The sequence below is a fragment of the Homo sapiens genome, chromosome 6 (genome assembly GCF_000001405.40).
Source record: "Homo sapiens chromosome 6, GRCh38.p14 Primary Assembly".
Lineage (NCBI taxonomy): Eukaryota > Metazoa > Chordata > Mammalia > Primates > Hominidae > Homo > Homo sapiens.
The window spans coordinates 106211453-106236420 of NC_000006.12; the positions used below are offsets into that span (position 1 = coordinate 106211453).

Here is a 24968-nt window from a genome sequence, read left to right on the forward strand (position 1 = left end):
GTAATCCCAGCACTTTGGGAGGCTGAGGCGGGTGGATCATGAGGTCGGGAGTTCGAGGCCAGCCTGGCCAACATGGCGAAACCTCATCTCTACTAAAAATAAAAAAAATTAGCCGGGAGTGGTGGCGTGCATCTGTAGTCCCAGCTACTCAGGAGGCTGAGGCAGGAGAATCACTTGAACCTGGGAGGCAAAGGTTGCAGTGAGCTGAGATCATGTCACTGCACTCCAGCCTGGGCAACAGAGTGAGACTGCTCAGGATCTCCCAAAGACCCAAATCCCTGTAAACTGAATGCATAATATCATTTGCTCCAGTGAGGCTTAGATGGACATTCTAGTCTTCTTGGTTGAGCTGAAGAAACAAATATTATATTGATAATTTATGTATGTTGTATTTTTCAAGGTATAGCAACAAGTTTTTATTCATCAGCTACTTTGTGTGTGTGCTTTGTTTTTAAGTCTTTTGAAACAGGATGGTGATTTACTACATTTATAAGTAAAATTTATTTGATTTACAAGGGTTGCTTAAGTGTATCACAGGATTTCACTTGTTATATTTGCAGGTGCTTAAAAAATCAGCTATACTAAACTATAACTGGAATTAGCAAAGTTCATTTATTGATTAATCAAGAATATAATTAGATTTGCCTAACTATATAAGTAGTACTATGTGTTATTTAAGAATTAAATCTAGAAAAGGGATGGACTCTGGAAATATCAAGAAGTGAAAAAGACTGCTCTCATTTTTGTACAACAATTACTAAATTTCTAAGTAGCATTAATTGAACTGAAAAGGCATTTTAGAAAAACTAGATTTTACAATTTATAACTCTAATAAAACACAACTAACTATGAGTGTGCTTGTTCATGCCCAAAAGCTACCTTCCAAAATTAAAAACCCTATTGGATGGCTGGGTGCAGAGGCTCATGCCTGTAATTCCAGCACTTTGGGAGGCCAAGGCGGGCGGATCACCTGAGGTCAGGAGTTCGAGATCAGCCTGGCCAATATGGTGAACCCGTCTCTAACAAAAATACAAAAATTAGCCGGGCGCTGTGGCGGGTGCTTGTAATCCCAGCTACTCGGGAGGCTGAGGCAGGAGAATCACTTGATCCTGTGAGGCGGAGGTTGCAGTGAGCTGACACCGTCCCACTGCACTCCAGCCTGGGCGAGAGCCCAGAGCGAGACTCCGTATATTAAACAAAACAAAACAAAACTCAAAAAACCCTATTGGCAATTACTAGGGCCATCAAATCAGTATATTTTCACTTGACACACAATTTTGAGATAATGAACCGAACTTACTATTTTTGAAAATATTACATAATAAATATTAGTGAAGCTTCATTGCTGAAATGGTGACAAAGATGAATAGCAATAAAACTTTTCTTATAGATCTTTAGCAAAAACAAAAAAACCCCAAGCATACTATGGTACATTACTTTAGAGAATCAAGTAGCTGCTAGTTGAGTAATAGTGGTAATAGGCACTACAATGATATAAACAAATTACAACAAAGAATATTGTTTTTATTTCCTGTCCATGTTTTAAAAAAGCTTTGGTTTTACCTATGTTTAACAAAAGCATAGGTACAACAACGACTACTACTACTAACATATAAGTAGCCTGGATAGAATTATCTTAATAGTAGTACCCAAGTGCAGGATCTCTAAGTAATGATCAGAAGGCAGGAATAAATTTTATCAGAAATCTTCATTCATTACATATTTACTATGCATTTACCAGGGTATCACTATGCTAATGGATACAAAGATAAATAACATGCAAACAACTGTAATACAGTGTTATGTGATAACAGAAATATGTACAAAGCACTATGAAAAAAATTACAAAGCTTGAGCACAAATTTTAACTCTGGACTTACTGGCATTTAGAGCAAAACCAAAACAATCCTAACTGGTTAATTTCATTTTCTAAGAGTTGGAAGCTATATCAGTAGGTACAAAGTAAAATATGCTAATTGTGGTAGAAAGTAAAATATTACAACAGTAGAGAATTTCAAAAGAAGATAAAAATAATGGAGGGAATATAGAAGGTCTTCAAGCTTCCAGCTTGAAATACATATTTTTTTTTAAATAGAGAAAGAGATAAAGTCATTTGAGTATTCAGAGGGCAGACTGAATATAATGGTACTTCTGAGAAATCAGTGGATAAGGAGAGAAAAGTGGACTAAAGGCCATAGCATATAGAGCTTGGAATGTCAAATGTAGTGGAAATAACAAAGGTTTGGTTGGAATCCCAACTCCCAACAACGTACTGTGTATCTAGAGCAAATTACATCAACCTTTGGGAGTACTGTTTCTGAATCTGAAAAATGAGGAAAACTTATCTTTGAACAATTGATGTGATAATTAAATGAGATATATGAAATATCTAATGTAACAAGTGCTTAACAATGACTAGTTCTTTTCATTCCTCTCTTGAACCATTGTGAAACGTAGAACCAAGAAAGGTAACAGTATTTAGTTGTTACAGAACCCATTAAGAGAGAATAAAAAATAACTGGTATTCTAACTTCAGTTTCCTTTGAAGTCTTGTTAATGAGAATAAATATTATGTGGCACAAAGAAAAAGAAAACAGGGGTTTACACAGGATATGCTGCCAGACTTTACCAACAATGACACATGATATCTGCTTCAACTGTCCCATGCATATTTGGCTTAAGATATATTCATGCATATCAAATTTTACATCACATGGTTTTCAAAAGAAGATTCATTAAAATTAGCTTAAGAATGTACACAATATACAATACCTCATTAAATAAAAAGAACAGACCATTTCCAAATGAATGCTTTTAGAGCTTTACAGTAAACAGTCTTTTGGTGGTAGAAAGAGGGGGAACAGAGAGGGGAGTGGGTGGGAGTCTGTAGCACTTATCAGACTACTTTTATCCTTTATGTAGAGAAATAGGAGAGTTGAAAATAAGCACTTTCTGTACTTATGTTGAGAGTCTGAAGCCCACTTTTAATAGTCTTGACAACACTAAAAAATAATAATTAACATTTGAAAAGCTGTCATTATTATAGTCAGGGACACTTAATCTCCAAAGGAGAAGTTTCTTAATTGATACTATGATTAAATAAAAGCATCCATCAGAATTATATCCACAATCTGGTTTGGAGTTTATGTTTTGTCTTATTTAAATTGTTATACTTATTATAATTCTGTCTAGACAGTGCCAAATGTACTTTGTCATACAAACACTTGAGGCAAATTTTCTTCAAATAAGCGCAACACTTTGTTTCCTCTTCGTATCCTTTGACTGAATAACGTGTGGTACAGAGAAGTAATACTTCCCTTTCTTGGGATCGAGATCAATTTGATGCTTGTTATAAGCCCATTTACAGAACAAATGGTATTGCTTTTAAATTTTTATATGAACTTATCAGTAGACTAGCCAAAAAAGAAGCTTCATATAAAAGTGCTAGGATTGATATTCTTAGTAATAATTAGGTAAATTCTCTAAAATTTTCTCCCAAAAGATCTGAAAAATCATACCAAGGGAAGTATAGTTTAAATTTCATTATATATAATAGCTTTAAAATATCTTTGCTAATTCTACCCAAAGCCACACTAAAAAGACTAATACAAAAAGAATGTAATTAATAAACTATTTTCCTCTGAAGAATCAAAGGGCACTTCTGCATATGAACATGTTTTATCCTTTTGGTGTACTTACATAAAATAATTAAGAAACACTTTTAATTAGTATAAACAAAGAAATCAAAATAGCAAGAAGAAATGTCTGAGTAAAAGCAGCTGTGCTGACCTCAAAAGTGAAATTCTGTTCTCTTGATGCCCAGTTAAGTGTCTAACCCAGGGAAAAGTGATTCTAAACCTGGGCTAGGAGCTAGTGGAGCTCTTCAAACAGTCTCACCTACCCTCACCCCTCAAGGAATGGTCTATGGGTTCTGTGGTGAACGCTAAAGTTTATAACATGGGAATATTTATTATTTTGTTTCTAACACAAATAATTTTTAAAAATTTATTCTACTAAAGTAACATCAAAGGGAAATTTCATAAAAATTCTTTTGAAATTTTTAGAAGTAGCAAATAAAGGCAAGTGATAAATATTTTACAGATTTCACCACTTACGTAATCTGATCAACAAATTTTAAAAACATAGCACTTGAATACTATTAAAAATATATTAAAAAGGTAACATAGTAAAACTATAAAATTCTTTAAAAAAAATATAAGAGGAAACCTTCGTGACCTTGGATTAGGAAATGGTTTCTTACATACGGCAACCTAAAAATACAAGCAACCAAAGAAAAAAACAGACAAACTGGACTTCATCAAAGTTAAAAACTTTTGTTCTTCAAATGACATCATCAAGAAAATAAATCCCACAGAATGGGACAAAATATTTGCAAACCATATCTGATAAGAGACCACTATTCAGAATATGTAAAGAATTTGTAAAACTTATAAATAAAAAGTTAAAGAAGTCAATTTTAAAATGAGCAAAGGATCTGAAGACAATTCTCCTAAGAAATACGAATGGCTAGTTAAATGCATGAAAAGATGTTTAGCATCACTGGTCATTAGGAAAGAGCAAAAACCAAAATGATATACTCCTTCATACCCACTAAGACTGCTGTAATTAAAACTATAGAAAATAAGCGTTGGCAAGGATGTGGACAAATTGGAACCCTCCTCATACACTGATGGTAGAAATGTAAAATGGTGCAGATGCTTTGGAAAACAGTCTGACAATACCCCAAAGGTTTAAACGTGGAATTACCATGCAACCCAGCAATTCTACTCCTAAGTATCTACCCAAGAGAAATGAAAATATATGTTCACCAAAACATTTGTACATAAATATTAACTGCAGCTTTTATTCATAATAGCCAAAAAGTGGAGACAATCCACATGTCTATCAATTGGTGAATTGATAAACAAAATGTGGTATCTTCATACAACTATTACTGGGCCATAAAAAGAATGATGTATTGATACATGCTACAAAATGAATGAACCTTAAAAACAATATGCAAGCAAAAGAAACCAGACACAAAAGGCCATATATTACATGATGCTAATTACATAAAATGTCCAGAAGGGAGAAATAAATTAGTAGTTGCCAAGGGCTGGAGGGAGGGGGAATGATATAAGTGACTGCCAATGGGCATGGGGTTTCTTTTTAGGGTGATGAAAATGTTCTGAAATTTTATCACGGGAATGGTTGCACAACTCTGTGTAACTTAGAATTCAGTGACTCCTAAAACCAATGAATAGCATGCTTTAAAAGGTGACCTTTGCTGAGCATAGTGGCTATAGTCCTAGCTACTTGGGAAGCTGAGGCAAGAGGATCACTTGAGCCAGGAGTTCCAGGCTGTACTGCACTATGATCATACCTGTAAATAGCCACCATACACACCAGCCTGGGCAACACAGACCATGTCTCTAAATAAATAAACAAATAAATAAATAAAAGGGTGACCTCTGTAGTATTGAGATTATACTTCAAGTAAGCTGTTATTAAAAAAAAAAAAGTTATCATATGGGTGGCAGGGGAAATCATTCTGGGATGATGGCTAACTTCATCAGTATTTGATTTATACCTATGCATCATACCTTATGTTTGTTTTATGCATTTTGTGGGTTTTTTAAAAAAATTATATTTCATAAAAACAAATTTTAAAAAAATTAAAGTCAAGAACCCCAAAACAACAAAGATCAGAGATACATTTCTACCTTATCAATTCAGAAAAATTACAAGTTTTTTTCTTAAAAATTGTATAGCATCATGGTGATTTTAAGTTACCTGTAGGAATTTAAATAACTTTGTCTTAACTGTTCACCAAAACTCATTTAATATTCATGTTCTGATACTGAAAATGAAGCTGAAAAGTTTTGAAATTACAATATGCTAGTTTAAAAAGGTTTACTAAAATACATAATTTCATTATAAGGAGTAATATGAAATAAAAGTATCAAATATGGGACCATTAAAAATGTCCTTACTAACAAATTGCTACCCACATTGTGGACTCACTGCGTCCACTGTTTGCGAGCTTTTCCAGAACGCTCGCCACCAGTTAGGGTAGCCAAGAACTCCTCATCTTCACTTTCTTCCTCACTAGCTTGGAACCTCTGGATTCCCACCCACACTGCTGTGACCTGAATGGGGAAGAGAAACGCCATAGTAAGGGAACTCTTCCTTTTATAGATTTCTGAATTAGAATCTGGCATTACAAAAGAACAATGTTATAAATCCAGGTCAGAGTTTATAGTTCTATTTCACTATTACTTATATGGCTTGTCCTAGGAACTTAACTATTATTTACAATGTAAGTACCTATTTCCACAAAAAAATTCAAAATTTTGGAATACAATATCTGAAGAGAGAATGGTCTATTGAATCCAAAGTAGGCTGATACATCCCAACAGTATTTCAGATTGAGATAATAATAATACCACCAATTCATCAAGTCAAATTATATGCTTATTTTCCACAATGGAAGTTTTAAAATAGTATAAACATTTTAATATATAGCAGGCTTAACTTATGATTATTAAACAGGGTTCTAAGAAAATAGTATACATCAAATATTAATGTGCTTCTTGTATAATTTAGGTGACAATTTATCCATCTGAGAAATGCAAAAGAGACTTTGGTAAGGGGTTGAGTAAGGAGCATTCTGTGTCAAAGAATTCACTAGCAAAAGAGGGTATACTGTAGTTACAAGCTATAATCACTGTACTTATTTTAAATCCCTCTTCAGAACCAGGTCTTAAAAGATGATAAACATGGCCTCATGAATAACTATCAACCAAACTATAGAAAAGAGTGCAAGAGTGTGGTGTTCTAACTTAAAATATGGTGTTTTATTCAAATAATTTTATTTAAGGCTCCAAAAGCAGCAGCCTCATTCCCCAGAAATCATAGTTAAATGAAATCTTCCTTACTAAAGGAAAAATGAATCACAATATTTAACGTGAACATTTTAAAAACACTCTAAAGCAACAAAACTATTCAATTGTATGTGATATGGCTTAGAAAGGCATGTAGGTAAAAAGGACTAAAAACTCTAATAATGGTTGGGCCAAAAGTAAATTTGTTAGTTCTACTCCATTAAGCATTCCTCAAGCAGTGTAAAAATCAGAGTTCAAGTTACACTTTGATGTGTAGATCCTTTGAAAGCCACTCTACCCTGTTTTATATGAAGCATCCGCAGCTAAAATGAACACCTAGTGAAGAGTATGAATGCTGCAATACATAAGCAGACGTCAGAATTGTCCCAAGCTGATTCTAAGTTACTTTAAACATGTATGCAGAGTCAGAATATGACTTACTTCTTAGAAGTAACAGATAATTACCTTTGGCATAATGAAAAAAACTTTAAATGTAAGTTAATACAGGTATTTTCCCTTTAGCAAAGCTTTGCTTTTAAAAGAAAACTTCAAAACTTAAATTAAAATAGGAAATGCTCTACTATGTAGTAAAAATACTTTTTAGATTACTGAAGCAAAGAAAAGGAAGGATTCTATGAGGGAGGAAAAGTGGGAGAAAAATGTAAAGAAAAAAAGGAAGAAGGAAAGAAAAGAGAAAAGGAGGAAAGAACACAAGGACAGAAAGGCCTATTGAAATATATTATTTCTTTCAAATTTTAAACGAGCAGAATAAATTCTTTTGTTTTATAACTATGAAATAATCTATGTTCCTCTTATCTATGCTTGGAAAATTTAGACAAAATGTTAAGAGTAAGTACTACATTGGATTTCCGGGTCTTCAGCTCTGAAAACAAGCTGTTTCTTAACATACGTCAATTTTCTATATTTCATGTCATTTCTATTTGCAAATGTTATAAAGTTCAATATGATGTAAAACATGGTTAAATGAAGTTCAAAAATAAGTATAACATACATTAGTTTGGCTATTCCAAATTTCATGCACATTAACTCAGCCACACATCTAACACAGTCAGCCCTCCCTATCCAGGGGTTCTGCATCTGCAGATTCAACTAACCATGGGTCGAAAATGTTTTTGTACCAAACATGTACAGGCTTTTTTTCTTGTTATCATTCCCTAACTACAGTATAACAACTATTTTCACAGTGTGTACATGTGTATGAAATATTATAAGTAATCTACAGATAATTTAAAGTATACAAGAGGGTATGCATAGGTTATATGCAAATACTACACCATTTTATATCAGACTCTCAAACATCAGTAGAATTTGGTAACCCAGGGAGGTCCTGGAACTAATCACCCAGAGGTATCGACAGATGGCTATATATAAATCACTCAGTGAATTCAGGATTCACATTATTTCACAACTAGTATAATTTTATGTTGTTCACATAATTGTGTCACAACATATACATGCAGACAGGTGACTTTCATGAAAAGATTACACCCAAGATAGACATATGGTCTACTCAAATACGGTTTCCAAATGTGTATCCAATCTTGTTTAATTATAATCAAACTCACCATTCCATTGATAAGCGACCTCTACCAACCTGCTTATCCCCTCCAAGCAATATAACAGTGGTTCTCTGAACCAATATTGACCCTCCTTTAAATTGATAGCCTTTTTTTAAAAAGCTAACCATTGAGAAGTACATACTGTTGAAGACAGAACATATTCTGTAAAATGCTCCCAAGATATCAAAGTCAGATGATACAACTGAATGTTTATGCTAGATTATATTTCTAAGCTGAGAATTACATTTTAATATACCATAAGCAATCTGCAAAAGAAGCAACTTGCCTAAAGATTTCAGGAGTTTCAAGTATGCATATGTCAATATCTGTATCAATATGTAATATCAATATAATCAATGCACACAACAATACGTAACTGTACTTATATCATCTCCTTAGCACTAATTATTACAAACAATCTGCATGCACTGCAAAGCAAAAGTATAATATAAAATCCCAAAAAACCTTGAAAATTTAATAAAACCAAAAAACAGGCATCACACACAAGAACTGAGGCGTATACTTCATTAATGAGTATGATATCCTGATATGAAATGTCAAACAAAATTACCCAGGCTCAGGTTAGAAATAAAGATAGGACATTAGTCTTTGTATTTTTAAATTGATTTTTTCTTCTAATATTCCTTAATGATAACCCTATATATTACCTACTTAAAATTATTAGCAAATAGTTATTTTAAAAGTATGAGTAATTAGACCAAAAGCAACTCTCATATTTACCCAAAAGAAGGAACCACTACCAAGAATCAAAGCCTAGTAATTCTGTTCTTAACAGACAGGTGTTGTGTATTCTGGCATGTTACATGAAAATCACTTATGAGAAGAACAGAAAAAAAAATTAGAAGGTAGTTTTCACTATGGAAATAGGTAAGTGATTAAGCAGATTTTCTTACACCATGAAATTGTCAGCAGACTCAATAATCACCCTAAGGGGCATCATTCTGGATGCCGACATTCTCTATGATGGAAAGGGACTGAAAGTAAAATGCACTAATGACATAAAGAAACCAATATCCAATAGTAAAGTTGAAGAAATAAACATTCTTTGGACAGGAACTAAGCTGAAGTTTGCAACTACCAAGAATGTATTATGCCAGCAGTAAATTAGGAAACTAAAGCCCATGTCAACCAATGAAAAATGGGAGGACTGAAATCAATCATTAAAGCAGCAGCAAGGTTCTAACTATTCTAAGGTATAGGCTACCTCTGGCGTATATTATCAGAGTTGACAATTCTTCCAAGAAATTCTAACATCAACTGTAATCTGAGGTCCTTTAAAAAATAATATAAACCAGGCAGTAGACTTACATTTTGTAATATTTTCTTCTAAGAGCTGTACATTAAGATTTTATTTGTGATATAAATACTATCAAATAATTAGCTATAGAACAGCTCTATTTTCAACAGTTATAACATTTTAAGCCATCTCACATTTAACCTAAACTTTTATCAAATGTCAAAACTGAGGCCGGGTACGGTGGCTAACACCTGTAGTCCCAGCACTTTGGGAGGCCAAGATGGGCGGATCACTTGAGCCCAGGAATTCGAGACCAACCTGGGCAACATGGTGAAACCCCATCTCTATAAAAAATACAAAAATTAGCTGCGCCTGGTGGTGTGCGCCTGTAGTCCCAGCTACTAGAGAGGCTGAGGGAGGAGAATCACCAGGGCCTGGGAGATCAAAGCTGCAGTGAGCTGAGATCGTGCCACTGCACTCCACCCTGGGTGACAGAGTGAGACCCTGTCTCAAAAAAAAAAAAAAAAAGAAAGAAAGAAAAAAAAATCAAAACTGATCACTTGAGGTCCAACTTATGTTTACTATATCTACTTATATTCCCAAAGACATCTTAAGGAGAGATGAAATCATAAAAAGGTGAGGATGAGAAAGAAAATAGTAAGTCAGTAAGGTCAATTTTTACATATATTAGGCTAGCATAATAAAAATATGAGTGTCTTATTATTATTTTTTTTTGAGACAGAGTCTTGCTCTGTTGCCCAGGCTGGAGTGCAGTGGTGCAATCATGGCTTACTGCAATGTCTGCCTTCCAGGTTCAAGCAATCCTTGTGCCTCAGCCTCCTGAGTAGCTGGGATTACAGGTGTGCGTCACCCTGCCCAGCTAATTTTTGTATTTTCAGTAGAGACAGGGTTTCACCACGTTAAACCATGAGTTTGGCCAGGATGGTCTCAAACTCCCAAAGTGCTAGGATTACATGCGTGAGCCACTGCGTCTGGCCTAAAGTGTCTTATTATAACCAAGAATTTATTTGTGGAGAGAGGTAAAGAAAACTCATTTTTAGTGAAATAATTAAAACTGCATCATTCACAATCTATCTTTCAAAATGAGGTATTAACTATTTTGGCTTCTAAAATTACCCCATATACTACATGCATGAGCATGGGAATTGAAGTTATTTTATTCCTAAGTTTGAGACTTCATGTTTTAATGTGATCACTAAAAATTTCCTAATTGATGATTAGGAAAATAACTTTCTGTAAAATTCCAGAATTTTAGCTGTTTCAATCTCTTCATATTAAGGGGAGAACATTATGTTTTTACTTTCTGTGCATGCACTTTCTTTATTAGAAGAAAATGGACTGAGGGCAGTAAGCAACCGAAAAGGAAGAGTAATAAGAAGCCTGATGTGTGTGAAAACTGGAGAACAGTCTCAAATCATAAAAAGTTATGACAGAAGAGGCATAAAAAATAAAAGTAATGAACTTAATATATGAAAGGTAATAATGATTAAGAGCATAGGCTATAAAGCCAGACTGGACTCCCTGGATTCAAATCCTGGCTCTTCTAATTACTAGGTAGGTAACCCTGAGCAAGTTTCAATGACCAATCTTTTTCTCAATTACCTCAGGTATATAAAGGGGACAGTAACAGCATTTAACCCAGAGGACAATAAGGATTAAATAAATACATGTAAAATAATTTAAAACAGTACCTGGTATTCAATAAAGCGCAATAAATGTTAGCTGCTATTATTATTCATCTAAACTTTACTTTCATTACCAGCAATATTTTTTAATCTTAAAAATATTGAATAAAACAATGACCTAGCTTAGTAAATAAATTCATAATGAGAAAATGTTGATTTCATTTAATAATAACTTTAGTAGTTTGGGATAACACTTTGCATATTTTAATTTCCCCAGCTATAAATAACTCAAATAATTTGCCATCAGATGATCTGTTATTTTGAAGTTAACAAATAAAGCATTTCCTAAAAAAGTTCTAATACATAACTTTTGCTCTCATCTTATGTTTTAAAAACAAAATGGCAAATCATCTGCATCAAATAGTTCCTACTCTTATAACATGACAATTGTTTTAAAATATATCTGCTGGAAAAAGCAACTGAAGTCCTAGAAAATAGAAATGTAATTTTAAACTATTCCAATAAAGCTGGAGGAGGAAGGGGAAAAACATATCTGCCAAATAAGCTTATAATTAATAGTTGTTTTCAGTTTTCAAAAATCCACATAGGAAGCAATTTAAGCCTAAATTGCCTAAGTCTCAATCTCAGCGTAGTAGATAGCTTAGGGCAATCAAAACTTGCTGTGTTGGGCTGCCCCCTACAGGACTCAATTTACCTATTTCTTTTAAAAGGTGTGTAAGTAGGAAATATGATTCAAGTTTTACATTAACAATATTAATGCTAAAGCAGATGATTATCATTCACGCATTCACTATAGGAGGAAACAGTCTCTGAGAACCATCTATAGAGATACAGAGAGAAATGAAACAATCCTTGTCCTTGAGGAATTAATAGTTTACTGCTTACAGAGAAACTACATACATGGTGAAATATTTAAAAATAGCTCATGATATCCTCTATGATATTATGTTTGCTATAGAAAAAGAACAAGGCTGAAGATCTAAGATCCAAGTTCTACTGTTGGCTCTGCCATCAAACAATAAGCTAAACAATGTACAAGTCAGTTTTGGGGAAGCTGTCTTATTCCCAAAATGAGGAGGTTAAATTAGTTAATTCTTCCAGCCTCTATGGCTCTAATATTCCACAGTTACATTTGTCAAAACAAAAGGTAGAAGGAAATGTTTCAAAAACAGACTTCGCAGAAAGAACATCTATATGATATGAAGGGCTGGGGCATATGTGAAGAAATCAAGGAAGACTTCTTGAGGAAGGTGACATCTGAAGTAACTTTAGAAGCACTCTGGGAGCCAAGGCTATTCCCAGGAGTTAACAGAGTCAGATAATAAAAGATCAAAGATGTTTAGGGGAATAGCATGCAGTGTTATTTGGTTGCAGTCTAGCTATATTTTAGGAAACATCAAATTAATATCAGTATAAAACTCAACAGAATGGAGGGAGAAAAAGCAGGTAGAAAAATCTAAGAACCACTAAAATAGTTCATCTAGAAGATAAAGGACCCATGAGCTAAATCAGTGCAAATGGCAAGAAGGGAATAAATGAAGACAGTTCTGGTCCATTAGAACTGCAACTCAACAAAAGTGATCAAAAGAGTTATTCCAAAGTATTGACCTGGTAACTTGAAGAAAAGTAAAGAAAGAGGAAACTGGACACTGAAACAGAAGAAGTAGATTATGTATTTGGTAGTGAATGGAAGTAGATTGGTGGGACCAGTTAGAACCTCACAGAGAAGAACTATGTTAAGACCAGAAATACGGCCAGGTGCGGTGGCTCATGCCTGTAATCCCAGCACTTTGGGAGGCCTGGGTGGGCGGATCACCTGAGGTCAGGAGTTCAAGACCAGCCTGACAAAGATGGAGAAACCCTGTCTCCCCTGTCTGTACTAATACAAAATTAGCCAGGTGTGGTGGTGCATGCCTGTAATCCCAGCTACTCAGGAGGCTGAGGTAGGAGAATCGCTTGAACCCGGGAGGCGGAGGTTGCAGTGAGCTGAGATCGCACCATTGCACTCCAGGCTGGGCAAAAAGAGCGAAACTCTTGTCTCAAAAAACAAACAAACAAAACAAAACAAAACACAGAAATACATCAATTAAAAAAGTGAGCTATTCACCAGATATGTTCCACTGGTCATAAAACAAAAGAATACAGGAGGCATGACAAGCCATCATCATTGCTGTTAAAATAACTCACAGCAAAATTATAATGATTTAAGTCAATAACATCTAATAATTCCAGCTATAGTGTGCAATTTAATTTATTATGTGCCAGGCACAATAGTTTATTAAAGGTATTACCTCTAATTTTCACAATAACCCTATTTTACAGATTATAAAATGGAGGCCCAGAGATGTAAGGTGAACGAGCCAAATCACCTAGTTACCTGGAATATAAACTCAGAACTGCCTAAATCAAAAGCTCTCAATCTTAACCACATGCTATACTGATGCATGTCAAAGATTCAATTCATTCAGATTTTTCAAGGTTATCGGAAAACCTATGTAGATAAAAATTTCCAAAATAATCAAGGATATGTAACTTTTACAGAAAGCAATCACTGATCATCTATTGCAATACTCATGTTCTTAAGCAATATACTGAGTTGAAATTTTTATATTTTATAAATAATTAGAAAGAATACATTTTTTAAAACTTTAAAAAACACCTCAGTTTTTATTCTCTTCCCCAAATTTCAACAAAATCCATTTATCCAAACTTGAGGTTGAATCATTAAAGTGGTGATATCATCAGTAATAGCAGAGTGAGGACCCTGAATATACTCTCCTCCATAAAAGCAACAAGAACACAAAAATTCTCAAAATGAACTTTTTCTGAAATCTTTCAAAAGCCCCACTCTCAGAAAACTGTCATTATTTGATCTGCCAGTTCCCTAGAAAAACCTCCCTCATAGGACATTATTTGACTTGACTCAGAGCTCACTCAGTGCAAACAATTTTATCACCAGGAGAGTTTGTGGAAAATCAGTGGCAATTGTTAAACATCACATCTGCCATGAGATAGCAATAACAGATGGGACAAACAAGCTAACCAAAAAATTAAAAGAAAAACCTGGGAAATAAGAAATCCAAAGGGGGTCTGAAAAGTTCTAACATATTTCTGATAATCCAGAAAGCCATACACATGTATAGAGCTGTGTACACGCTCAAAAAACATCTACGAAGGCCCTAAACTCTCACCTATGGGAAACCCTGAGGCTCTGTACAAGAAGAAAGTAAAATCCAGTTATAAATTGCTTGCCGTATCATTGAAGGCAATGCCCCAACATTCACACATAGGCCCCTGGCAAAGATTGGAAGATACTCTAGTTCTAGGCATTCAAGAAAATCTCTTCTAATCATCAGATGATCACTAAACTCACCAAGCAGTAACTTTAGGGGCCTGTGTGATAAAAAATAAAAACCTGAAAGAATTAGTTCAGGAAAGAAACTAAACAAGCAACAGCAACAACAAAAACAGACCTTGGGAAAGGGGGGAAGCATCTGGTTTCCAGAGTTATTCTGTTATACTATATAAAATATTCAGGTCTCAACAACAACAAAATTACAAAGACATGCAAAGAAACAAGTATAAGCCACAAACTGGGGGGAAAAAGCAGCAGAAACTGGCCCTGAAAAAGACCAGATGCTGGACTTACTGGACAAAGACTTTAAGAGAGTTATTTTAAATATGCGCAAAGAACTAAAAAAAAGTTTATCTAAAGAACTACAGGAAAGTATCAGAACAATATTTCTGATCCTTCAGAAGAACCACTTTTTGTCACTACAGATTAGTTCTGTCTGGTCTAGAACTTCTTAAAAACAGAATCATAGAGTATATTCTCTTTATATCAGCTCTTTTTACTCAACACAATGTTGTGTGAGATTTATCCATGTTGTTGCATGTATCATTCCCAAACAGAAATAGAAATTATAGAGATAAATAGGAGTTACAAAAAAGTACCAAACAAAAATTCTGGAGTTGAAAAGCACAAAAACTGAATTAACTTGAGGGGCTCAACAGCTGATTTGGGCAGCCAGAAGAATGAATCAGCAAATCTAAAGATAGGTCAATTGCGAGAAAGAGAGGGAAGAAGGAAGGAAGGAAGGAAAGGAGGCTCAGAGACCCAAGAGACACCATCAGGCATACCAATATACATATAATGAGAGGCCCAGAAGAAGATGCAGAAAAAGGGTCAGAGTATCTGAAAAAATAATGGCCCTAAACTTCCCGAACTTGACCCCAAAAATTAATCTACACATCCAAGAAGATAAACAAACTAAAAAGAATAAAATCAAAGCGATCCACACCTAGGTACATCATAATCAAATGACTGAAATATAAAGAGAGACTCTCAAAACAGGCAAGGGACTTATGTACAAAACATCTTCAGATTAATAACAAATTTCTCATCAGAAATGATGTTGTCAATAGGCAATCAGATGACATAATCAAAGCACTGAAAGAAGTAGAATGTCTGGGACCTGGAATGCTGGTGGACACCTGTAATCTCAGTATTTTGGGTGGCCAAGGTGGGAGGATCACTTGAGGCAAGGAGTTGAAGACCAGCCTGGGCAGCAGAAAGAGGCTCTGTCTCTACAAAGAATAAAAAGATTGGCTGAATGTGGTGGTGTGGACCTGTAGTCCCAGCTACTCAGGCGGCTAAGGTGGAAAGATCGCTTGAGCCCAGGAGTTGGAGGCTGCAGTGAGCTATGACTGTGCCACTGCACTCTTGCAGTGGAGACCCTGTCTCTATAAAGAAAAAATGTCAACCAAAAACTACATGCAGAAAAACTGCACTTCAAGAAATGATCAGTACCTTGAAGCTCTGAAGGTGCTTAAGACTGTAGATCAATACCATAGAAAATAATTTAGTATTTAGGAATGTAAGAAAATTAAGACAGCCTTGTTTGATAACTACACATAATACTGTAACTGTTCTTGCACTGTTCTGGTTATTGTCAAGCTATGAGCACAAACTGATGACTGAAATACAGAATACAGAACAGGATATAAAATCTTATCAGGTAAAGTTAGGCAAGCAATTACTAGTTGTAATTCAACTTGAAGGAGAAGGAATAAGGAACCAACTCAAACCAGGCAGCAATGAATTGTAAAAAAGCTTAAGGTAAAACAAACAGGGAAATAAAACAACTCAGAACCTAAGCATATCGTAAGAACCTAATCTAACAAGGAGGGGCTTAAACTGATTATTTTACAGCTTGGGTGCAATTATCCCACAAAAAACTTTCAGGAGTTTCACCAGTCCATAAACTATTTGGTTATTAGAAAATAGCTTTATTGGGCTACCCTCTTTGGGTCCCCTCCCTTTGTATGGGAGCTCTGTTTTCACTCTATTAAATCTTGCAACTGCACTCTTCTGGTCCGTGTTTGTTACGGCTCGAGCTGAGCTTTCACTCTCCATCCACCACTGCTGTTTGCCGCCATCGCAGGCCTGCCACTGACTTCCATCCCTCTGGATCTAGCAGGGTGTCCGTTGTGCTCCTGATCCAGTGAGACGCCCATTGCCGATCCCGACTGGGCTAAAGACTTGCCATTGTTCCTACGCGGCTAAGTGCCCGGGTTCATCCTAATTGAGCTGAACACTAGTCACTGGGTTCCACGGTTCTCTTCTGTGACCCGTGGCTTCTAATAGAGCTATAACACTCACCGCGTGGCCCAAGATTCCATTTATTGGAATCCATGAGGCCAAGAACCCCAGGTCAGAGAACACGAGGCTTGCCATCATCTTAGAAGCAGCCCGCCACCATCTTCGGAGTTCTGGGAGCAAGGACCCCCTGGTAACAATTTGGCGACCACAAAGGGACCTGAACCCGCAACCATGAAGGGATCTCCAAAGCGGTAATATTGGACCACTTTTGCTTGCTACTCTGGCCTATCCCTTAGAATTGGAGGAAAATACTGGGCACCTGTCGGCCGGTTAAAAACGATTAGCATGGCCGCCAGACTTTAGACTCAGGTATGAGGCTATCTGGGGAAGGGCTTTCTAACAACCCTCAACCCTTCTGGGTTGGGAACCTTGGTCTGCCTGGAGCCAGCTTCCACTTTCAATTTTCCTGGGGAAGCCAAGGGCTGACTAGAGGCAGAAAGCTGTCGTCCCGAACTCCCGGCATTAGCCGGTTGAGATCATGTCGCAGCCAGAAGTCTCTACTCAACAGTCGCCCATGCGTGCGCTCCTACCTTCCCTTCTGTCCCACACCTCCTGGGTCCCAACCACGACTTTCTTGAAAGTGTAGCCCCAAAATTCTCCTTACCTCTGAATCTACTTCCTCTGATCCCTGCCTCCTAGGTACTAATGGTTGAGACTTTCATTTCCTCTAGCAAGTTGTATCTCCAAAGGGATCTAAGGAAGCTCTATGCTGCGCCCTTAGGCATCTAGGCTATAAACCCAGGGAGTCTTGTCCCTGGTGTCCCTCCTGATTTAGGTATACAGCTCTAGACATGGGCAGTTATGTGGGACCTGTTCCCCACCACCCTTGCCAGGGCCCCAAGTTTGTAAATGGCTAAGAGAGGAAACAGAGAGAGACAGAGAGAAAGAGACAGTGAGAGACAGACAGAGACAGAGAGAGAGAGAGACAGAGAGGAGAGAGAGAGAGACAGGGAGGACAGGGAGAGAGACAGAGAGGAGAGGGAGAGAGACAAAGAGGAGAAAGAGGCAGAGAGACAAACAGGGAGTCAGAGAAAGAAAGACAAAGATAGAAATAGTAAAAAAAAACAGTGTGCCCTATTCCTTTAAAAGCCAGGGTAAATGTAAAACCTATAATTGATAATTGAAGGTCTTCTCCGCGACCCTATAACACTCCAATACTACCTTGTTGTCAGCGTAAACAAGGGCGTAGCCTGAAAACACTAAGACCACTGACAACCCATAGCCTTCCTATCAAAAATCCTTAACATCCAGTGACCTGCGGATGGCCCAAATGCATTCAATCTGTAGCGGCAACTGCTTTGCTAACAGAAAAAAGTAGAAAAGTAACTTTTAGAGGAAACCTCATTGTGAGCACACCTCACCGGTTCAGAATTATTCTAAGTCAAAAAAGCAAAAAGGTAGCTTATTAACTCAAAAATATTAAAGTATGGGGCTATTCTGTCAGAAAAAGGTAATTTAACACTAACCACTGATAATTCCCTTAACCCTGCAGATTTCCTTACAGGGGATTTAAATCTTAATTACCATACAAAGGTCCGACCAGACCTAGGAGGAACTCCCTTCAGGACAGGATGATAGATGGTTCCTCCCAAATGACTGAGGAAAAAACCACAATGGGTATTCAGTAATTGATAGGGAGACTCTTGTGGAAGCAGAGTTAGAAAAATTGCCTAATAATTGGTCTCCTCAAATGTCAGAGCTGTTTGCACTCAGCCAAGCCTTAACGTACTTACCGAATCAAAAAGACTATCTCAATCCTGACTCAAAAGCTTACTTATACCCTCTCTGAAACGAATTTGCCTAAGAACTGTTGTTTATGGGAATGCATCTTGATGGAGCAGCTGGGTTGTTATGAAATACTCAGGAACTCAGCCTAGCTCTAGGACTCACCCCTGAGCACAAAGGCAATGTTGGGCACGCTGGTAAAGGACCACTAGAATCCAGCAGCCCGGACCCCTTTCTTTGTGATCAAGAAAGGCGGGAAAAGGGGTGAGGGCTGCTACATCAGTGAGCATAACTAATCCGATAAGCAGAGGTCCATGGGTGGTTACACACCCCGGAAAGGAATAAGCATTAGGACCATAGAGGACGCTCTAGGACTAATGCTCATCGGAAAATGACTAGTGGTGCTGGCATCCCTATGTTCTTTTTTCAGATAGGAAACGTTCCCCTCAAGGCAAAAACACCCCTAAGATGTATTCTGGAGAATTGGGACCAATTTGACTCTCAGATGCTAAGAAAAAAAAGACATATTCTTCTGCAGTACCGCCTGGCAACGATATACTCTTTAAGGGGGAGAAACCTGGCATCCTGAGGGAAGCATAAATTATAACACCATCTTACAGCTAGACCTCTTTTGTAGAAAAGAAGGCAAATGGTGTGAAGTGTCATACGTACAAACTTTCTTTTCATTAAGAGACAACTCGCAATTATGTAAAAAGTGTGATTTATGCCCTACAGGAAGCCCTCAGAGTCTACCTCCCTACCCCAGCATCCCCCAGACTCCTTCCCCAAATAATAAGGACCCCCCTTCAACCCAAACGGTCCAAAAGGAGATAGACAAAGGGGTAAACAACTAACCAAAGAATGCCAATATTCCCCGATTATGCCCCCTCCAAGCGGTGGGAGGAGAATTCGGCCCAGCCAGAGTGCACGTACCTTTTTCTCTCTCAGACTTTAAATTAAAATAGACCTAGGTAAATTCTCAGATAACCCTAATGGCTATATTGATGTTTTACAAGGTTTAGGACAATCCTTTGATCTGATATGGAGAGATATAATGTTACTGCTAAATCAGACACTAACCCCAAATGACAGAAGTGTCGCCGTAACTGCAGCCTGAGAGTTTGGCGATCTCTGGTATCTCAGTCAGGTCAATGATAGGTCGACAACAGAGGAAAGAGAACGATTCCCCACAGGCCAGCAGGCAGTTCCCAGTGTAGACCCTCACTGGGACACAGAATCAGAACATGGAGATTGGTGCCGCAGACATTTGCTAACTTGCGTGCTAGAAGGACTAAGGAAAACTAGAAAGAAGCCTGTGAGTTATTCAATGATGTCCACTATAACACAGGGAAAGGAAGAAAATCCTACCGCCTTTCTGGAGTGACTAACGGAGGCATTGAGGAAGCATACCTCTCTCTGTCAACTGACTCTACTGAAGGCCAACTAATCTTAAAGGATAAGTTTATCACTCAGTCAGCTACAGACATTAGGAAAAAACTTCAAAAGTCTGCCTTAGGCCCGGAACAAAACTTAGAAACCCTATTGAACTTGGCAACCTCAGTTTTTTATAATAGAGATCAGGATGAGCAGGCAGAATGGGACAAATGGGATAAAAAAAAGGCCACCGCTTTAGTCATGGCCCTCAGGCAAGCGGACTTTGGAGGCACTGGAAAAGGGAAAAGCTAGGCAAATCAAATGCCTAATAGGGTTTGCTTCCAGTGCGGTCTACAAGGACACTTTAAAAAAGATTGTCCAAATAGAAATAAGCCGCCCCCTCGTCCATGCACCTCGTGTCAAGGGAATCACTGTAAGGCCCACTGCCCCAGGGGACGTAGGTCCTCTGAGTCAGAAGCCACTAACCAGATGATCCAGCAGCAGGACTGAGAGTGCCCGGGGCAAGCACCAGCCCATGCCATCACCCTCACAGAGCCCTGGGTATGCTTGACCATTGACGGCCAGGAGGCTAACTGTCTCCTGGACACTGGTGTGGCCTTCTCAGTCTTATTTTCCTGTCCCAGACAACGGTCCTCCAGAGCTGTCACTATCCAAGGGGTCCTAGGACAGCCAGTCACTAGATACTTCTCCCAGCCACTAAGTTGTGACTGGGGAACTTCACTCTTTTCACATGCTTTTCTAATTATGCCTGAAAGCCCAACTCCCTTGTTAGGGAGAGACATTCTAGCAAAAGCAGGGGCCATTATACACCTGAACATAGGAGAACACCCGTTTGTTGTCCCCTGCTTGAGGAAGGAATTAATCTTGAAGACTGGGCAACAGAAGGACAATATGGACGAGCAAAGAATGCCCGTCCTGTTCAAGTTAAACTAAAGGATTCTGCCTCCTTTCCCCACCAAAGGCAGTACCCCCTTAGACCCGAGGCTCAACAAGGACTCCAAAAGATTAAGGACCTAAAAGCCCAAGGCCTAGTAAAAGCATGCAATAGCCCCTACAATAATCCAACTTTAGGAGTACAGAAACCCAGTGGACAGTGGAGGTTAGTGCAAGATCTCAGGATTATCAATGAGGTCACTGTCCCTCTATACCTAGCTGTACCTAACCCTTATATTCTGCTTTCCCAAATACCAGAGGAAGCAGAGTGGTTTACAGACCTGGACCTTAAGGATGCCTTTTTCTGCATCCCTGTACATCCTGACTCTCAATTCTTATTTGCCTTTGAAGATCCTTCAAACCCAATGTCTCAACTCACCTGGACTGTTTCACCCCAAGGGTTCAGGGATAGCCCCCATCTATTTGGCCAGGCATTAGCCCAAGACTTGAGCCGGTTCTCATACCTGGGCACTCTTGTCCTTTGGTATGTGGATGATTTTTACTTTTAGCCGCCAGTTCAGAAACCTTGTGCCATCAAGTCACCCAAGTGCTCTTAAATTTTCTCGCTACCTGTGGCTACAAGGTTTCCAAACCAAAGGCTCAGCTCTGCTCACAGCAGGTTAAATACTTAGGGCTAAAATTATCCAAAGGCACCAGGGCCCTCAGTGCCTATTCTGGCTTATCCTCATCCCAAAACCCTAAAGCAACTAAGAGGATTCCTTGACATAACAGGTTTCTGCCAAATATGGATTCCCAGGTACGGCGAAATAGCCAGACCATTATATACACTAATTAAGGAAACTCAGAAAGCCAATACCCATTTAGTAAGATGGACACCTGAAGCAGAAGCGGCTTTCCAGGCCCTAAAGAAGGCCCTAACCCAAGCCCCAGTGTTTAGCTTGCCAACGGGGCAAGACTTTTCTTTACATGTCACAGAAAAAAACAGAAATAGCTCTAGGAGTCCTTACACAGGTCGATGAGCTTGCAACCCATGGCATACCTGAGTAAGGAAATTGATGTAGTGGCAAAGGGTTGGCCTCATTGTTTATGGGTAGTGGCGGCAGTAGCAGTCTTAGTATCTGAAGCAGTTAAAATAATACAAGGAAGAGATCTGTGTAGACATCTCATAACGTGAACGGCATACTCACTGCTAAAGGAGACTTGTGGCTGTCAGACAACCGTGAGGAAAGTAACTAAAATCGTAAATCCCCATGGCCCTCCCTTATCATATTTTTCTCTTTACTGTTCTCTTACCCCCTTTCACTCTCACTGCACCCCCTCCATGCTGCTGTACAACCAGCAGCTCCCCTTACCAAGAGTTTCTATGAAGAATGCGGCTTCCCAGAAATATTGATGCCCCATCAAATAGGAGTTTACCTAAAGGAAACTCCACCTTCACTGCCCACACCCATATGCCCCACAACTGCTATAACTCTGCCACTCTTTGCATGCATGCAAATACTCATTATTGGACAGGGAAAATGATTAATCCTAGTTGTCCTGGAAGACTTGGAGCCACTGTCTGTCGGACTTACTTCACCCATACTGGTATGTCTGAGGGGGGTGGAGTTCAAGATCAGGCAAGAGAAAAACATGTAAAGGAAGTAACCTCCCAACTGACCCGGGTACATAGCACCCCTAGCCCCTACAAAGGACTAGATCTCTTAAAACTACATGAAACCCTCCATACCCATACTTGCCTGGTAAGCCTATTTAATACCACCCTCACTGGGCTCCATGAGGTCTCGGCCCAAAACCCTACTAACTGTTGGATGTGCCTCCCCCTGTATTTCAGGCCATGCATTTCAATCCCTGTACCTGAACAATGGAACAACTACAGCACAGAAATAAACACCACTTCCGTTTTAGTAGGACCTCTTGTTTCCAATCTGGAAATAACCCATACCTCAAACCTCACCTGTGTAAAATTTAGCAATACTGTAGACACAACCAACTCCCAATGCATCAGGTGGGTAACTCCTCCCACACGAATAGTCTGCCTACCCTCAGGAATATTTTTTGTCTGTGGTACCTTAGCCTATCGTTGTTTGAATGGCTCTTCAGAATCTATGTGCTTCCTCTCATTCTTAGTGCCCCCATGACCATTTACACTGAACAAGATTTATACAATTATGTTGTACCTAAGCCCCACAACAAAAGAGTACTCATTCTTCCTTTTGTTATCGGAGCAGGAGTGCTAGGTGGACTAGGTTCTGGCATTGGCGGTACCACAACCTCTACTCAGTTCTACTACAAACTATCTCAAGAACTCAATGGTGACATGGAATGGGTTGCCGACTCCCTGGTCACCTTGCAAGATCAACTTAACTTCCTAGCATCAGTAGTCCTTCAAAATTGAAGAGCTTTAGACTTGCTAACCTCTGAAAGAGGGGGAAGCTGTTTATTTTTAGGGGAAGAATGTTGTTATTATGTTATTTTAGCGGAAGAATGTTGTTATTATGTTAATCAATCCTGAATTGTCACAGAGAAAGTTGAAGAAATTCGAGATTGAATACAACGTAGAACAGAGGAGCTTCAAAAACACCAGACCCTGGGGCCTCCTCAGCCAATGGATGCCCTGGATTCTCCCCTTCTTAGGATCTCTAGCAGCTCTAATATTGATACTCCTCTTTGGACCCTGTATCTTTAACCTCCTTGTTAAGTTTGTCTCTTCCAGAATCAAAGTTGTAAAGCTACAAATCGTTCTTCAAATGGAACCCCAGATGAAGTCCATGACTAAGATCTACCGTGGACCCCTGGACCGGCCTACTAGCCCATGCTCCAATTGTAATGATATCGAACGCACCCCTCCCGAGGAAATCTCAACTGCACAACCCCTACTATGCCCCAATTCCGCAGGAAGCAGTTAGACTGGTCGTCAGCCAACCTCCCCAACAGCACTTGGGTTTTCCTGTTGAGTGGGGGGACTGAGAGACAGGATTAGCTGGATTTCCTAGGCCGACTAAGAATCCCAAAGCCTAGCTGGGAAGGTGACCACATCCACCTTTAAACACTGGGCTTGCAACTTAGCTCACACCCGACCAATCAGGTAGTAAAGAGAGCTCACTAAAATGCTAATTAGACAAAAACAGGAGGTAAAAAAATAGCCAATCATCTATCGCCTGAGAGCACAGCGGGAAGGACAATGATCGGGATATAAACCCAGGCATTCAAGCCGGCAACGGCTACCTTCTTTGGGTCCCCTCCCTTTGTATGGGAGCTCTCTCTGTCTTCACTCTATTAAATATTGCAACTGCAAAAAAAAAATAGCTTAATTGAAGAATAAATTAATACAATAAAAGGAATACATTTTAAGTATACAGTTCAAACTGTAACAGTGTTACAGTTTCAAGAGGACCCCTTCAACAAGATATTGGGCATTTCCATCATGCCCTAAAAGTTCCTTCTTGTCCCTTACTGGTTGGGTCCATCTCTACTACACCCTCCTGACCTGGCCCAGACCTTGGCCTCAGAAGAATCATTTTTTTGTCACTACATATTAGTTTTGTCTGTTCTAGAACTTCTTAAAAACAGAATCATAGAGTATGTTCTCTTTGTATTGGTTCTTTTTACTCAATGTAATGTTCTGTGACATTTATCCATATTATTGCATGTATTATTCCTTTTAATCCTGAATAGTATGCTGTTTTAGGAATATAATGCAATTGTTTATTCATTTACCTGTTGACAGATATCTGAGCTATTATGATGGATATTATGAATAATTCTGCTATGAACACTTCTGTACAATGTTTTCTCGGACATATATTTTCATTTTTCTTGAGTGGAGCTGTTAGAACTGTTGGATCAGAAAGTAAGCATATGTTGAATTTTGAAAGAAACTGGTAAACTCTTGTCTAAAGT

At 38.2% G+C, this 24968-nt stretch overlaps 1 protein-coding gene across 10 annotated transcripts in view, besides 1 other annotated feature; it reads right to left on the reverse strand.

Annotated features, from left to right (window-relative positions):
- Positions 1–24968, reverse strand: part of ATG5 (autophagy related 5) — a 141285-nt gene that overhangs the window by 26977 nt on the left and 89340 nt on the right. Inside the window, exon 7 of one of the 10 annotated variants that reach the window (XM_047419573.1) lies at positions 6012–6149. The exons of the other annotated variants lie outside the window; for them this stretch is intronic. Within the exon in view, the coding sequence (XP_047275529.1) occupies positions 6021–6149 (129 nt within the window). The 3' untranslated portion in view covers positions 6012–6020. Of the gene's footprint in view, positions 1–6011; positions 6150–24968 lie in introns of those variants that run through there. 10 annotated transcript variants of the gene reach the window in all.
- Positions 18619–18819: a silencer, noted in NCBI's record as "peak6001 fragment used in MPRA reporter construct". NCBI's record gives its function as "represses an SCP1 promoter by STARR-seq MPRAs in K562 erythroleukemia cells {active_cell/tissue: K562}" and the evidence as "EXISTENCE:reporter gene assay evidence [ECO:0000049][PMID:32103011]".